Raw genomic sequence first — 16,202 nt, 5'->3', positions numbered from 1 at the left:
AATGACCTAATAACCTCTGAAAGACTTCACGTGAATAAAATCTCAGCATGAGTTCCAGAGAGGCCAAGCATTCAAACCATAGCAATCCCTATTCCAAGTCATCTAGGCAAAGGAGGGCTAGGGAGAAGATAGGCTGAGGAGCAGAGGATAAAAGCGTGGCTCTCCAGAGAGTGATTCTCACAGAGATGGGGCAGAGTCATTACGTGCTCCTGCCCTGAGGCCCTGCACTGCCAGAGAGAAGCATCCTCTCAACAAATGCTTGTGAGATAAAGGAATGATTTGATTTGGAACAATAACCGACCCCATGAGCGTTTTTCCGTTTCTCCACAGGACAACAGTAAAGGGCCCTTTATGAGCTATTAGCCTTTTGAAAATTTGGTTCTCATCACAGAGATGGGATTTCAAAGAATAAGGAGTTAGATCATTGTTATTATCAAAACAATCTGGCTTTTTTGTGCTTTTTTAGTGTTTGCCATGATCTATGTCGTTAGGCAATTTTTAAAAATATAGAATATTAGGTCCCAATATTATTAAGAGAGCCAGAAGAAAAAGGGGCAGTATTCTACCCTACAGATGATCAGCTCTCTGAGGGCCCTGCAGTTCTAACAGTCTGTGCCACTAAATCGAGAGGGAGGAAGGGCGCCCAGCACTGAGAACAGTTGATGCTTCACTCTCCATTGTTATTCAGCTTTGCAGGAGTTCAGGAAATGCCACCTCAAAATATGATGCTTTGGTGTGCTGACTCCTTAACAGAGGACACTTGGGGAACAGCAAATTCGGGGAGGGCCTTTCTCTGAACTAGCTTCTCTGCAAATACAATTGATGGATCTCAGTTGTCGTGAATCCCCTCCCAGGGAATTGTGTCAGCCGGGGAAGATGAGTACGTGGACACCATGCCTGGAGAGACTACTGCCTGTTCTGCTCAGGGCTGCTCGGAGACAACTTTTATTACCTGAGAGATTGTTTATCTACATAATAAGACAACCTTTATTCACCATACAATTCCTCTCCTTGCCCTCCTCTAACCTCCTCCCCCTCACAAGAATCCCCAAGCCCCTGTTCTTTTCTGTATCTAGGATATAGTTCTGTAGGCTTCCATGATCTAACCCTTCTTGGAGTCTCATATTCTGTGGGACTCTCATGTGTACAGAATTGAATATGCTCTTTCTCCTGTTAATCTGTTTATATGCCATTTTAATCAATAGCCCAGCCAAAGAACCTGGGAGGGTAGAGGGAAGCCATCTTTTGCTCCCCCACAGCTTCCAGAATGTCTCTCATGTTATGGGACCAAAAAGCTATTTATTAGTAGAGAGGCAGCAATGTCTGTGGCATTTCCTCGACTCACCTGAGATCCGCGCATTATCTCAGCCGCCCTGGGACACAGTCACTTGCTCTTTAGCTGTCATTTAATTAGTTTGCTTTCTATGTCCTTAGCAAAGCAATAAAATTGAGAGAGAAAAAGAAAACTTAGGCAGGGGAAGAGTCTTATAAGTCTGGGTTTTATTTTATAATTTCATAAGACACTGCAAGGTGTGCATGTTGCTGGGAGATAGCATTTTTCAGGTCACTGAAGGCATTTGGCTTCACCTCCTGCTCACGACCCCCGAGGCATGAGTTATCTTTGGCCAACAGGCATCCAGAGGAGCCTTTAGAGCCTGGCCTGCCACTGAGACTGTCAGGGCGGTGATGACAATCAGCTCTCTAAGTGGTTCTGGCTCTCACCATTGTCTGATAGTCATGGCAGAGATGCATATCGAGAGGATAATGTGGGAAATGCTCTCACCATTATTACCCAGCCCCAAGCTGGGAACCTTCTTTAAGAGGCCTTAAGAATATAAGTAGAAGCATTAACGGCTTCCGCTCCAGAGATTGGTGTGTGAACAAACATCTCAGACCTCTGGATCTCTCATCTTCTCTCTCCTCCTTTGAGCCAGAACATTCATGAATAATCATTTAGGGCAGAGGTTCTGGGCCAGAAACATCTGAGATCCAGTCCAGCCCCCGGAAATCCAAATGCAGCTGTCTGAGAATCTCATGGAGAGACACAAGCCTAGAAAGTGTTCAAGACATTTGGGGGATTTATTTCAGCTTCTGTCATTAGTGTGTGCTTAACTTCAAGGGTGAAATCCAGATCAGTACTCTAATTTTTTTTTTTTGGTGGGGAGTGGGGACAGAATCTTGCTCTTGTCGCCCAAGATGGAGTGCAGTGGCACAATCTCGGCTCACTGCAGCCTCCGCCTCCTGGGTTCAAGCAATTCTCCTGCCTCAGCCTCCTGAGTAGCTGGGATTACAGGCGTCCACCACCACGCCCAGCTAACGTTTTTGTATTTTTAGTAGAGATGCGGTTTCACCATGTTGGCCAGGCTGGTCTCAAACTCCTAACCTCAGGTGATCTGCCCACCTTGGCTTCCCAAAGTGCTGGGATTACAGATGTGAGCCACCATGCCCGGCCAACTCTAACTTTTAAAATTAATTCTTTGGTGCTAAAGCAAGACTGGCCTTTGGTAGGGTGGATCTTCTCCTCAATTCCCCAGGACGTGACTGAACTATCACAAATGAAAGTCCTGTTGCTAAAACCATGCCCGACCAAGCCTTCCAGCCTGATACTTTACATGCAAAAACAGGTGTCTTTGAGCCAACCTTCTTTGTTGGCTAAATTAAGAGACTGCAATAACACCAGGCCAAAACTTACGTGAATGGTGGATTTCTATGACTTCGTGTTTATTAAGCTCATTCTATAATGAAGGATGGTGCTGCAGCCATCAGAAACAGATGTTTGTTTGCAGTGTACTCTGATCAACAGTCTTCCCCTTGAGTAATGGCCTGGACGCTATCTGTCCCTGGTCCAAGATTTGACAAAGTGTGCAAACAAGTAAATCAGACACAGTGAAAGTTAGCGATAACCCAGGACAGTTCTTATTCTCTGGCTTTCTTTAACAAATGACTCAGAGTGTGTGGCAGAAAAATTCATATGCTCTCACTGCAGGGCAGTTACGCCTCATATTTTCTTTAATTTGACTGATTTTCTGTCCCCTGCAGCTCTTTTCTTCAACACAGTGTGAAGTGAAACTCATATGGGTCGTCCAAAGGCTGAAAATAAACACAGCATCCTTTATTCGAAAAAAAAAAAATCTGAATTTCTTTGTCTTAGAATACGTTTAATTTTCGGCCGAGCGTGGTGGCTCATGCCTGTAATCCCAGCACTTTGGGAGGCTGAGGGGAACGGATTACCTGAGGTCAGGGGTTTGAGACCAGCCTGGCCAATATGGCGAAAGCGAAACCCCGTCTCTACTAAAAATACAAAAATTAGCTGGGCGTGGTGGCACACACCTGTAATTCCAGCTACTTGGGAGGCTGAGGCAGGAGAATTGCTTGAACCTGGGAGGTACAGGTTGCAGTGAGCGGAGATCGTGCCATTGCACTCCAGCCTGGGTGACAAGAGTGAAATTCCATCTCAAAAAAAAAAAAAAGATTAGGTTTAATTTTCTAATCTTCCCCATGTCCCCAGCTCACCTCATCCTACTTTCTTCTAAAATATTGGAGGTGTTCTGTCGCTTTTGTTCTGTGGACCCTTAACTGAACTCTGCATCGTGCAAGGAGTCCTCAGACAGCAGGGTCCTTGTAGACCTGCGCAGTCCAGCGTGGTGGCCAGCATGGTGGCCACTAGCCCTGTGAGGCTCCTGTCCAACATGGTGCCCACGTGAGGCTCCTGAGCCCATAGAATAGGGCTAGTCCCAACTGAGATGCATTGAAAGAGTAAAAGCAGACCCGATTCCAAAAGCTTAGTAAAAATGAATATAAAATAACTCATTACCAATTTTTATATCGATTGCATGTTGAAATGATACAATTTTGAATATATTTAGTTAAGTAAAATATTGAAATTAATTTTACTTGTTTCTTTTTCCTCTTTTCATATAGCTACTAGACCATTAAAAATTATTGCTGTTTCAATTGGACAGCACTGTTCTAGGCTGTATCCTTTCACGGTGGTTTCAAAATCAAAAAGACAAAAGTGTTGCAGAATTACACTAGCAGAGTGAATTACACTAGAATGCTGGCATCATCCCTAGCACTGGGATTGGTACTTTCTGGGGGCTATCATTTCCAGCAAACTCCATTGGTCCCAGTTCACCTTCCTCTTCTTACTGCTGAAACGGGAGAGTTCCCTGACCCACCCCGGTTGCAGGACATGCAACAGGCATATGGCTCATCAGTTCAGCCACCACCACTGCTCAAACTCCTTATGGGAGGGGGAGCATGCAGATGAGCAGGTGCAGGAGCCAGGACGAGCACTTCTGGGCTCTGGCCCCACAGTAGTGTCTAGGGATGGGTGCCTGTGACTCCCAAAGCCCAGTTAGCTGTGTGTTACAGTGCGCTCTTTTAATTTTGCTGTCTGCAGACAGCTTAAGTGTTAAACAGCTCAGTGGACCCTCTGCCTTTTTGCAAGGGCAGAGGGCCAGTGTGACAGCTTTCCATATTCCAAGTTCTTGTCTGGCATCCAGAAAAATCAGGTCACCCATGGACTTGAAGGATGGTGACTGCAGGGTTTTATTGAGTGGTGGATGTGGCTCTCAGTGGGATGGATGGATGGGGAGCTGGAAAGGGGATGGAGTAGAAAGATGATCTTCCCCTGGAGTTGGGCCGTCCAGCAGCCAATCTCCTCTCTAACTGTCTGCAGCAGAACTCCTCTCGACATTCAGATATTCCTTCTCTTCTCTCCTCTGCTGCTCTTCTGCTCATGGAGCCTGGGGTTTGGAGTTTATATAGGGACAGGATAGGGGGGCATGACAGGCCAAAAGGCAACATTTGGGTGTGAAAACAGGAATGCCTGTTCCCATTTAGGGCCATGGGTTTCCAGGCTTGAGGGTCAGGCCTTTGCTGGGGAACTGCCCTCTTCTACCCAATATTTCCCTGTCTCCTGTCTGTAACCTCCTCATCTCCTCACTACAACCTGCACCTCCCAGGTTCAACACTGTGCTCCCATGGAACCTCACATCCATCATATGATCAGGACACAGCTGACTGTGAACTCTGTGAGGCCATGAAGAATGGCCAGTGCCTTACCATTCACACACAGTACATGCTTGATGAGTACTTGTGGAATGGAGGGAGCATTGGGTAGAGCAAGGGAGAGGTGAATTGTGACTCCTCTGAAACTGGAAATTACATACGTTCTGCATCTTTGCAGGCTCCAGCAATGCACAGCATACATTCTGAGTGGAGTTCCTGAGTAGGAACTTTTGGTTGAATGAATGAGCTAGAACAGGGTCTCTAAATGGTGCATACAAGTCACTCGGGGATCCTGGTAAAATGAAAGATTCTGGTCTAGTACTTCTTGGGTGGGGCCTGAAATTCGGGTTTTCTGACATGCTCCTGGGTGATGCTGATGGTGCTAGTCTGGGAACCACATTCTAGGGAACTAACTAGAGCCAGTGCTGTGATGTGAATTTAGTTATCAACATGGATGGGCGTCCCTTCAATTCATGTCTCATGGATGCTCCAACTGACAGTAACTGTTTCAGCCTCCTCTCTATCTGTGACTCTCCTCTCCCCCTAGACTCCAGAAGATTCAGAGCTGCTATGGTGCTCTGTTAGGAAGACCAAGGGCATGGGTGTCATCTCCTTGAGAAAACTCTCTCATCAATGTGACTCTCCTAGGATTTTGCTGCAAAACCTTATCCTCCTCCATTGAAAGCCATAAACCTTTGAGTGTGTCTCCCTAGCCTCGACTTTCTCTGGGACTTCACTCCCATCCTGCCCCCTCTCTGGCTAGCGTCTTCATTCTCTCTCTTTTCATCATCTTTTGCTGTTTTCAAACTGATTCAGAGCTCTCTGTTGTGAAGCCTTTTCCACCCCATCATGCCTGTGATCTTAGCCTCTGAATCTAGCTGACCATTGAACCATTGGACCAAAATTATGGCCTCCGAGGTCACTAAAGTACTTTCCCTGGCAGAAAGTCTTAGTTATTCCTCTTGTACTCAGGATTGACCTCTCCATTCTCAGTACTGGGTTTCCTCAGCACTGTGCTATCCTCTTCTGCTTCTCAGAAGTTGAGGCTTTTCCAGCTACTACTGCTTGTTTATTCTGCAAAGGTTTGATGATTGCCATTATTCTGTTAGGTCCTTGCAACTTCATGATAATCACGTGGAATTAGAAGTGACTTGAATTTGAGGTGACTGCAACCTATCCAAATGGAAATATGCAATAGGCAAAGTGCATCTTAAAAGAGGAGTTGGGAAGGGTGGAATAGATTTTGAGAAGTTGTTAGAAGAGAGGCAGTCAATTAAGCTTGATGTTAGAATGCTCCCTGAAGGGGCAAATGTGAAGGGCAGAAAAACAAATGCTATCTCCACGTGCTCTTACCCACTGACCTCAACCCGCCTGGATCTCTTCTATGGGACCCTTAAGACTTACACAAGAATACTCAATTCAACCCATGATTGTGCATTGTATCATGGAGTACACAATTGTCCTTCAGCTCTTTTATGCTTTATAAACATCCACCTTAGCTGTAAGCTACTTGACTCCAGCACCTGGATTGCCACAAAGAGACACTGATCACCTACTATGTTCTAGCACCTGGATCTTGGGAAGACAAAGATGAATAAGATACAAATCCTATCCCTTTAGAAGAGGAGATAGGTGGAGACAGTTTCATATAGAGGGTGAAACAGTTTAATAGAGGTATGAGTAAGAAACAGGGCTTGGGAAGAAAACACCTTGATCATTTTGGCTGAGGCTGCAGGGGAAAGGGGCCAGAACAGGTATACCTGCAGGGCACCTATGAGACTGCTCAACATACAATAAAGGGTTAATGTATCATTTTGACTGATTGATTGATTGATCATTGAGGAGCTGCAAAACCTCCAAAGACAAAAGTCTGTAAGATGTGCTGGCAGGGTGTCCCCAAACATGTTCAGGCCTCTTTCCAAAGCTGGCCTTGCCCCAAGTTGCCCAGGGCGGGCCCAGGTATTCAGGGAAAGCATTTCGCCTCCCCTGCTGTGCTAGAGAGCATAAGGATACCCACAGGCACATGGGACAAATTGGGCTCAAATTGCCATATGGCTTGGATTTCACATTTTTACTGGCGTAGCGTAATCATTTCTACAGAGTCTAGTGCCTTGCTGCAGATTGTAAATGATAAGGTCACGAGGATTAGGGACCAGTTAAAAATTATAGAAGACATATGCTGTGCGTTTTACTAATGAATGGCCATATTCAAACATGTTCACTAATTAATGGCAATATTTGAATGGGCCCACTAATGAATGGCGATGTTTGAAAGTGGCATTGAATTTGATACTCTGTGACCAGTGCTCCAGTTCTAGAAGGAGCCAACTGCTCCATAAGGTCTGAGAAATGCTCATTTTAAAGCAAAATTGGGCAGGCCTTGCAGGATGGTAAAGGGAATTCTCAGTTAGATATTGAAATTTGCCCGCCAAGAAGTTTGTTTAGATGAACAGGATGGTGTGAACATATCATTGAACAAGAGTTCCAGCTTGCAACCAGGTCCTACCTTAGCCTTTGGGAACAAGGTAAGCCATGACACAAATGCCAGAGCTGGGGACCTTGGAAGATAAGGACTGTCCCCATAGGAATTGTTTTCAGAAATGGTTACAGTAAAGAGAAAGTAAGAAAAGAGGCGGGGGATTAGGGACCGAGAGCATACAGCACTCCCACCCCAGCTTCCCCTGTCCTCTGGCAGACTGCTGCAGTCAGGTCACCTGGCAAGCGTCACTGAGAGCCAAGTCTGCAAAGCTGAGGCTCACGACACAGCCACAAGTGAGGGAAGCTGCCGTTCCCCCATTCACTGTTTCTTTCTCTCTAACCTGGACCTCTAATTTGTTGGCTGTCTGTGTTTAAAGCCGCTGAGCTTAAATTCATTACAAGTCCTTTCCTGGCAGGCGGGCCAGATTCAGGCCCATCAGAATGAGACGACCAGCTCCATGTGTGTTGAGCTGAGGAAAGTCAGAGTGAGCCTGACCACAGGCCACTCCTGACCCAGCTTTGGCTGTGTAGACAAGACTTAAACGTGGTCAGAGTAATTGCTTTGGCTAGGAACACAACTCTGTGGTGACAAAACATGTATAAAGAAGGTCTTAGCAAAAGTGCTGGGATGTATTTGATATTCTTTTAAAGCAGCTTGACAAAGGCGGTGGTTGAGACCACAGCGTGTTGGGGAAGCAGCTTCCACCCACCTTGCTGCTAAGCCTGTGACTGACAAGGCTCGCGAAAGCAATCAAAATGGAAAGTCCATATGCCCTTGGACCCAGCTATTTCATGTCTAGAAATTTCTGCTACAGATTTCCTTTCACATGTGTGAAATGACCTGAAGAGCGGGACATTCCCTGCAGCTTTGTTTGTCATGGCAAAATATTGGAAGGACCTAAATGCTGATCGGAGGGGCTGGTGAAATGAACGAAGGCACATCTATCCACTGGAATATTGTGTGGCTGTTCAGGAAGAATGGAGCAGCTCTCCGTGTGCTAATAGACAGCCATCTGTAGCATGCATTAAACGAAAAACCAACAAGCAGAGTACAGCACATTATACAATGTTTTATAGGGTATTTTTGTTTAAAAATAGCATAAATTGATGATTGAGTGCAGAACATATTTCTGGAACAATACCTATACAAACAGGTGACAGTGATTGTCTCTGGGAAGCTATGTAGCTGACCAAGGAGGAAAGGAGACATTTTTCACAATGTACCTTTTGAATCTGTGCTACCTGCACATATTTTGCATTCAAAGAATACCTACTTTTTAAAAATCCATGACTCTGCAAATGATATTTCAGTAACGCTCTTAAAGAAAAGAAAAAAATAAATGGCCAATACACATTTTTAAGTTTATTTTCCCTTTAAGTTATGGTAAAAATCAAAACTATTTTGGAGTAGGAAGTAAATGTAAATGTCTTTGTCCGTAATTATAGACTGGATAGTTAATTCCCAGCAGAACCATTGTCAGGAGGACCACCTTATCATGGATCTTTTAATGTGAGGTGCTGAGGTCAGCCTGTTGAAAGTAAGCTCAGTGGGTCTTTTCTCCTCATTGCATGAACTCATCTTCTCTGAGGGGCCCTAGTTCTGAGACAGGTGGTACTAAAGTTTCCTACTAGACGGTACTCATAGTGAGTGGGTCAGTGCAGACTGCACAACTGAAAGATGGGATGGTTACGTGCACGCGCATGATGATAGATGTTGGTGTAAGAAAAGGGGATTTTCGGGGATCTTTTCAGAGCTTGCAAGAATGGAAATTAAACCAAAGAAAGTAAGGACCTGTTCAAAGAGCAAACCTAAAACAAAAATAAGCCTAGGGCTGCAGGGTGTTGGAGGTCACAATATTTTGTGGGAAACTAATTGGCATTGTTTAATATCCCTGGGGATTAGTACAGAATTTGTGAAAGACAAAGGAACGTGGGTACTCTACAGAGCTGTATCCAGCCTCCTGAAAATTCTTTCTTTTTAGCCCTTTGGAGACCACACATAGAACACTGTCTTCGTCTGTTTGCATTTGGAGCTTAGCACAGTTTAAGATTGCCTCACACCATGAGAGTCTGTGATTTTAAGATGTTGTGTACTTGAAAGGAAATAACCTTACTTTCTTCTTTTCAAAATTGTGTTTTAATGCATTATAATCTAACACCATCTCCGTTCTGTGGCACTGTCTTGTCAGAACGAGTTTTGCATATATCAGCGGCTGGTGACTCATAGGGAGACTTCCTCTCTTGATAGATTCCCTTTACAGAGGCTGGACTTACGTATCTCTGCTGCCATCTTCTGGAAAGCTACACACCAAAAAGAAAAATATTTCATCTATTCCCAAAGAAGTACAAATGTGTGCTTCATGCCTTTGATGTTTGCCTTGACTCTAGTAAGGGGTCCTAAGATGGTATTTGATTCTCTCCTATTCTTTTAACACAGAATTTCAGAGCCGTGGAAGAAAAATAAATGCACATAATAGAATGCTTTTATAATAGATGCAGCCATGATAGAAAACAGGCACAAAGAAATCTTGGCTTCCATAGAGAGATCATCATCAAGCCTTATTTTAAGGGTCATTGCTTGTAGGTACCTACTGGCTCTCAACCTGATTGATCAGCAGCCACTGGAATATTCCGATTGCATTAGAAGCTGTTCATTTGCTTCCTTTTCATGCTTCCACAGAGAAAGTACACATACAGCCCCTTTTGAATGTGTTCATTATGGAAATATGGGAAAGCAAACTCAAACATCAATCAAATGACTACTGCACTGACATGATATTGAATGAGAGGCATGATGGGCCATTCACATAGCTCTCTGGTAGTACAGAGCGTCTAAGGGGGCTGACAGTGACTTACCTCAGCATGTATACCAGCAAAGAGAGGCCTCATCCCTTTCTAGACAGCAGTCTTATGTCTTATGAGTAGTTTACAAGTGTGGCATTTCTGGGGAGGTGTCAGTTTTACCCGAGATTCACATAACAGTCATTATTATCAGTATACTGGGAACTGCTTTAATTAACAAGGCGCTTACTACCCTCTTATTTTTCTACAGACTCTTACCACTTGTTAAACATCATAGCCCCATGGAGAAAACTATTTGTTGTGTTGTTGTGTTTACTGTGTACCAGAAACTGTGTTAAATATTCTTTATCTTATTATTTCTTCTTTGTAGATGCAAAAAAGCTCAAGCAAAGAGATGTTGGGATCACACAGATAATAAATGATCCAAGAGGCCTCAGACTCCGGGTCTCTCTACCTCAAAGGGTTCACTTCTAAACACTAATCTACATCTGGTATTTAAACATGTAAAGATCTAGTACACGATTTCACAGATTAAAATGTGCTATTCTTTTATATGTTGCCTAGGGCCAAGATTTTACTCATCCTAAAAGTAAATACTCAACACATATTAGTTGCAAGACAAAAATATGACTTCAATGTTAAGAATAGTTTAGCTATTATGCAATAGAAAAAAATTGGCTTATTGAATTTAGCCTCTATTAAATCTTTTTTTTTTTATTCTATACCTCCTTTTAGGCATTTAGGATAAGCTGATGACTAGAATTAAGTTAAAAGTGTGGCACCAAGCTCTCAAGCTTGAAAACATACCAAGGAGAATGTATTAGGTGACCATGTTTATTGTCAAATGAAAGGAAACCACCACACTGTTGGAAGTGGTGAACTTTCTCCTGGTGTTGAATTCTGAGAGGAATTTGCCATATGGCTACCTGGAATTTATATATGTATATATATATAGCGAGAGAGAGAGAGAGAGAGAGAGAGAGGTTTGAACTATAATTTTGCAAATAACAGGGAAAGTTTAAATAGTTTTCATTACATCAGTTCTTTTGCAAAAGATTGGGAATAAAGTGACCTTGTTAAATTTTTTCTTTTTCTTTTTTTTTGGAGACAGAGTCTCACCCTGTCACCCAGGCTGGAGTGCAATGGCACAATCTTGGCTCACTGCAACCTCCGCCTCCAGGGTTCAAACGGTTCTCCTGCCTCAGCCTCCCAAGTAGCTGGGATTACAGGTGCCTGCCACCATGCCAGCTAATTTTTGTATTGGTGGTTCACACCTGTAATCCCAGCACTTTGGGAGGCCGAGGCAGGCGGATCACGAGGTCAGGGTTCGAGACCAGCTTGGCCAAGACGGTGAAACCCCGTCTCTATTAAAAATAATTTGTTTCTATAGGAGCTTTATCAGCCAGAGCTTCACCAGAGAGACCAGACCAGCAGGATGCTTATATCAAATATACATACACATACACACATATATGCATATATATGTGTATATCCCTACATATATATACATGCAGGCACACATTGTATCTATATATCTGTGTATACACAGATATATGGAGAGATTTACTGGAAGGAAGTGGCTTACACGGTTTCAGGGCTGGGTAGGCACCTCCTAAATCCACAGAGTGGCCATCAGGAAGGGCAGGCTGGAACTCTTGAGCACAGCCTGACGCTGCTGTCCACAGGTGAAATCTCTTCTTCCTCAGGGAAGGCTCAGTTATGCTCTTAGGCCTTTCCACAGATTGAATCAGCCCCCTTCAGGTTATCTAGGATAATCTCTCTTACTTAAAATAAACTGATTATAGATCCTAGTCACATCTACAAGAAAGCTTCACAGAAACACCAAGATTAGTGTCTGCTTGAGTAACTGAGGACCATAGCCTAGCCAAGTTAATACATAAACTCTCGTCACAGGGACTATAATACAGTCCATGTGTTTGATTGCCTTCTAACCAAATCTATAAGGGAATAGACTTTAGAGAGCCAATGAAATAAGTATGTATTATTTTATGATTGTTTAAAGACATTTAAAATTTCTCGAAAAAAAAAAACAACTCTACGGAAATGGATCACATTTGTTAGATCCACCACAAGAGAAGACAATCCTGAAAATGTATACGGTATAAACAGGACTCCATGTTTCCTGGTATACTAACTTCCATTCGGTTAATGTTGACTCATAAGGTTTGGAGAGGTATTATGCAGCTTAAGGGAGCCTCAGCAAATGTAAGACCATTTTTAAGTAATAGCAAATCCCTGGGTAAATTTCAGCCTTCTACATGGTTGGTTAAAGAAGGATCCAGGCGCCCCAGATATGAGACATGCAGCTCAGCAGAATGGATGTGAAAATGTTGGAGCTAGGTCTGCTTTCTTCCCCGGCAAGCTTTTTCTCTAGAAACAGCTATGCCATGGGAAGTGTTTGCAAACTGGCCCGAACACTGTCTTAAGAAGGAGTTTTGTATCTGCCTAACCCAGAGTTCCCCAGAATTCTGTTCCCCATGCCCTTAGCGGTTCAGTACATTTTTCACGGTATTTCTAGGCCAAAAGAAATGCCTAACAGTTGTGGTTATGAAAGGTTTTGTACCACGTAGCATAGTAAGAATTAATGTCATAACGACTTAATAGTTATCTGAAATGATAATTCACACAAATGGAAGGAAAAATTAGCTTTATTTTATTCTTAAAAATAATCACGTCTTGGCCAGGCACGGTGGCTCATGCCTGTAATCCCAGCACTTTGGGAGGCCGAGGCGGGTGGATCACCTGAGGTCAGGAGTTCAAGACCAGCCTGACCAACATGGTGAAATCCCGTCTTTACTAAAAATACAAAAATTAGCCGGGCGTGGTGGCAGGCGCCTGTAGTCCCAGCTACTCAGGAGGCTGAGACGGGAGAATTGCTTGAACCCGGGAGGCGGAGGTTGCAGTGAGCCGAGATGGTGCCACTGCACTCCAGCCTGGGCAACAGAGCAAGACTCTGTCTCAATAAATAAATAAATAAATAAATCACATCTTTGTTCCAAATGGATGTTTACATGGTATTTGTTTTCTATTCTGGTAACTTCCAAAAGCCCACCTTTGCAAAGATACAATGTCACCAAAAGGAAAATAGCACAATCTACATTAACACTGGGAACTACCTTGAGTTAATAAATCACATAGTGTTCAATAGCCATGCTGTGTTTTACTTAAAATTCTAGAATATCCCAGGCACCCCTGTGAGTTTGTTACAGTACCGCAGGGCACTCTGGTGCGTAGTGTGAGAACTGAAGGTTGAGAGTCTTGAGTCCTGGATAATGTAATTGAAAACCCAAACATTTTCAAGATCAAATCAGACCTTCTACATTGCACATGAGACAGATTCATGTTACTTAATTGGGAAGGACCACTGCATGATAGATCTAAATTTAAATTATACTTTGAATAGAAGCAAATTAGCCAGTGCCTCCCTGTGAAGTCATCACCGGAATATTCCTGCAGCATTTGCTTGCCTTTTGCCATGCTAAAGTGGGGAGGCTTTCATTTGATATGCTCTTCCCTTTCTCTTATTTCTCAATAGTCCATTCTTTGTAGTACTGGTGTGAAAGGGAATTTAATGTCTTTGTGTCAGGAAAAGCCTATTTATTCTGACAAACTGATCAGCCTCCAGGGTGTTCCTCTACCATGAAACTGATTTTATATCTCATCCACGAGCTAATAAGATGTGAACGGTTTTCCCTTTCACACCAACAGATAAGATTTGCTTCTCTAGAAAGCAGTGGGCTGAGACCCCATTGCCAGTTCTCCATGATTGGGCCTCCCGTCCACATTTTTCCAACAAAGCATGTAAGAGCAGAGGAATGAGTGTGAGGCAGACCCAAGTATTAACAGATAAATGTTTTTAAAAATAGGAGAAAATCCTAGAACTCAACTCACTATTCAGTGAATTCGCTTTTAGTTCAGAGAAAATAAGATGTCAGAAGCTGAAACCAGGTAATGTTGGTGATTTGTGTAAGGACGTTCTGATGCACACACGCTGTCCCACCAACCTTTAAATAAAGTTTACATTTCACTAAATTTGAGTTCAGTCTCTCTGCTGTGAGAAGAAATAAGAATATAATATGCTAAAAGTGATGGCTTGAAGATCAATTGTGGCATATCTCTGAAGAGATTGTTTCCTTATAAAATGCTTTTCCTTTTTGTTTCTGATGTCCTGAGATTAAAATACTTTTCAGATGAACTTTTAAAACAAGAAATTGGACGTAGGAAAGGAGAAAACTCTGTTCACATGGTGAAGACAACATGAAGGAAAAATAGTGTTGAGTAAAAGCCATTCTTTTTTGAGGCAAGGAGGAATTATGGTATATTTTGGGATAGAGTTGGTTTTATATCCTGGTTTCTATTATTTTTGTTTTTCAATTCAAATCAGTCCTGTCTTAAGCAAAATTAGGCTAAATTCCTAACTTATACTATAAAATATTAGTTTGAGAACTTGTAAGTCTCTGTAAATTTTTGAATCTTCCAGACACTACTTTCAGCATATTATATTCTTATTTATTACTGTATCAGTTATTTATTGCTGTGTAAAAACCACCCTAAACTTTAATGATTTCAAATAACAACAGTCTACTTGGAATATGACCCAGTCACATAGCTGGCAAGTTGGTGCTGGCTGTCTACTAAAAGCTCAGACAGGGCTATTGTTGCGGCTGAGGCCGCAGCTCTTCTCCATGTGGGGCTCCCATGGGCTGTTGAGCTTCCTTACCATATGGCAGCTGGGCTTCAAGAGCAAGTGTCCCAACAGGAAATGGAAGCTTCTGGTTTCTTGAGGCCTGGGCCTAGAAAGTGGTACACCATCATTTCTACCATATTCTAGGAGTCAAGTACTCAACACATCTGGCTGTCAGCAGAAGAGACATAAAGCCCACCTCTCAAGGGAAAGAGGATACTGTCAGTTTGCCTCTATGCTCTAAGACCACCACCATCATCCACACACCATACTTGTGGATGGCACTCTCTCCTCTGCTGAAATGCCTTCTCTGAATACAGTTTCTGCTGTGGGAGATGTTGCCTACAACTTATTAAAGAAAGTTCCATTGAAAGAAACCAGTTTTCTGGTGAGGAAACTCCTTCCTATGAAATGGAGTAGGGGCAAAATAGTCCCTGTTGTTCTTATCTCCTTAAAGTTTAGAACACATTGTATGCTGTGATTGTAGCCACTCAGCATGTGCTATCTCACTACCTCTCCCAGGGGTCATATGAGAAAGCTATCGCTGTTATCCTAGCATTTCCAAGGTGGAAACCAAGGCACAGAAACCAAGGTGGCTTTCCCAAGGTGTTTCAGGTGGCAGGGGATGGGATGATGACTCCAGTCTGGTGTGTTCCACTGCTGATCCACAACTCAACCGTGACAGTAACTTCAGAGCATGGCTGGTGGCGATGAGAATGGGACGTGCTTTCAGGAGAGGTCCATGGATCCCAGACAGACAGCCCTAAACGAGCCTCTCTGGCATTCACTCTTCCAGCTTTCTTCTTTGTACGATGGCGGGTAGAGGGCATTGGTTCCTTGGGCGTCTTCAGTCCCATGGTGAATGCTGCTCATCATCTCTCAGTCCGTGTGTCTCTGTCCTAATCTCCTCATCTTGTAAGGACACCAGTCAGATTGAAGAAGGCCTCCCCTAACAACCTCATCTTCCCTTTACCACTTTAAAGGCCCTGTCTCCAAATACAGTTACTTTCTGAGGTCCTGCTTCCACCTATCCATTATGTGGGGGCACGGTTCAGCCCATAGCCACCCATTTCTTTTTCCATAATAGGCTTTTAATACGAAAGTAAGTCCACTGACATGGGCATATAAATCTTCTGTGAATGCAAACAAATATTGAATGTAAACAAATATTAAAGGGAATGTCTTGAATGAAGTTTTTTCCTTA

The 16,202-nt window shown here is 43.3% G+C and overlaps 1 protein-coding gene across 6 annotated transcripts in view; it reads left to right on the top strand.

Moving 5' to 3' along the window:
* Positions 1-16,202, top strand: part of PRKN (parkin RBR E3 ubiquitin protein ligase) — a 1,380,350-nt gene that overhangs the window by 1,323,986 nt on the left and 40,162 nt on the right. The gene's annotated exons all lie outside the window — the stretch shown is intronic.

The sequence above is a fragment of the Homo sapiens genome, chromosome 6, assembly GCF_000001405.40.
Source record: "Homo sapiens chromosome 6, GRCh38.p14 Primary Assembly".
NCBI lineage: Eukaryota > Metazoa > Chordata > Mammalia > Primates > Hominidae > Homo > Homo sapiens.
Note: the sequence above shows the minus strand (reverse complement) of the source record. Positions and strands in the feature narration are given on the sequence as shown.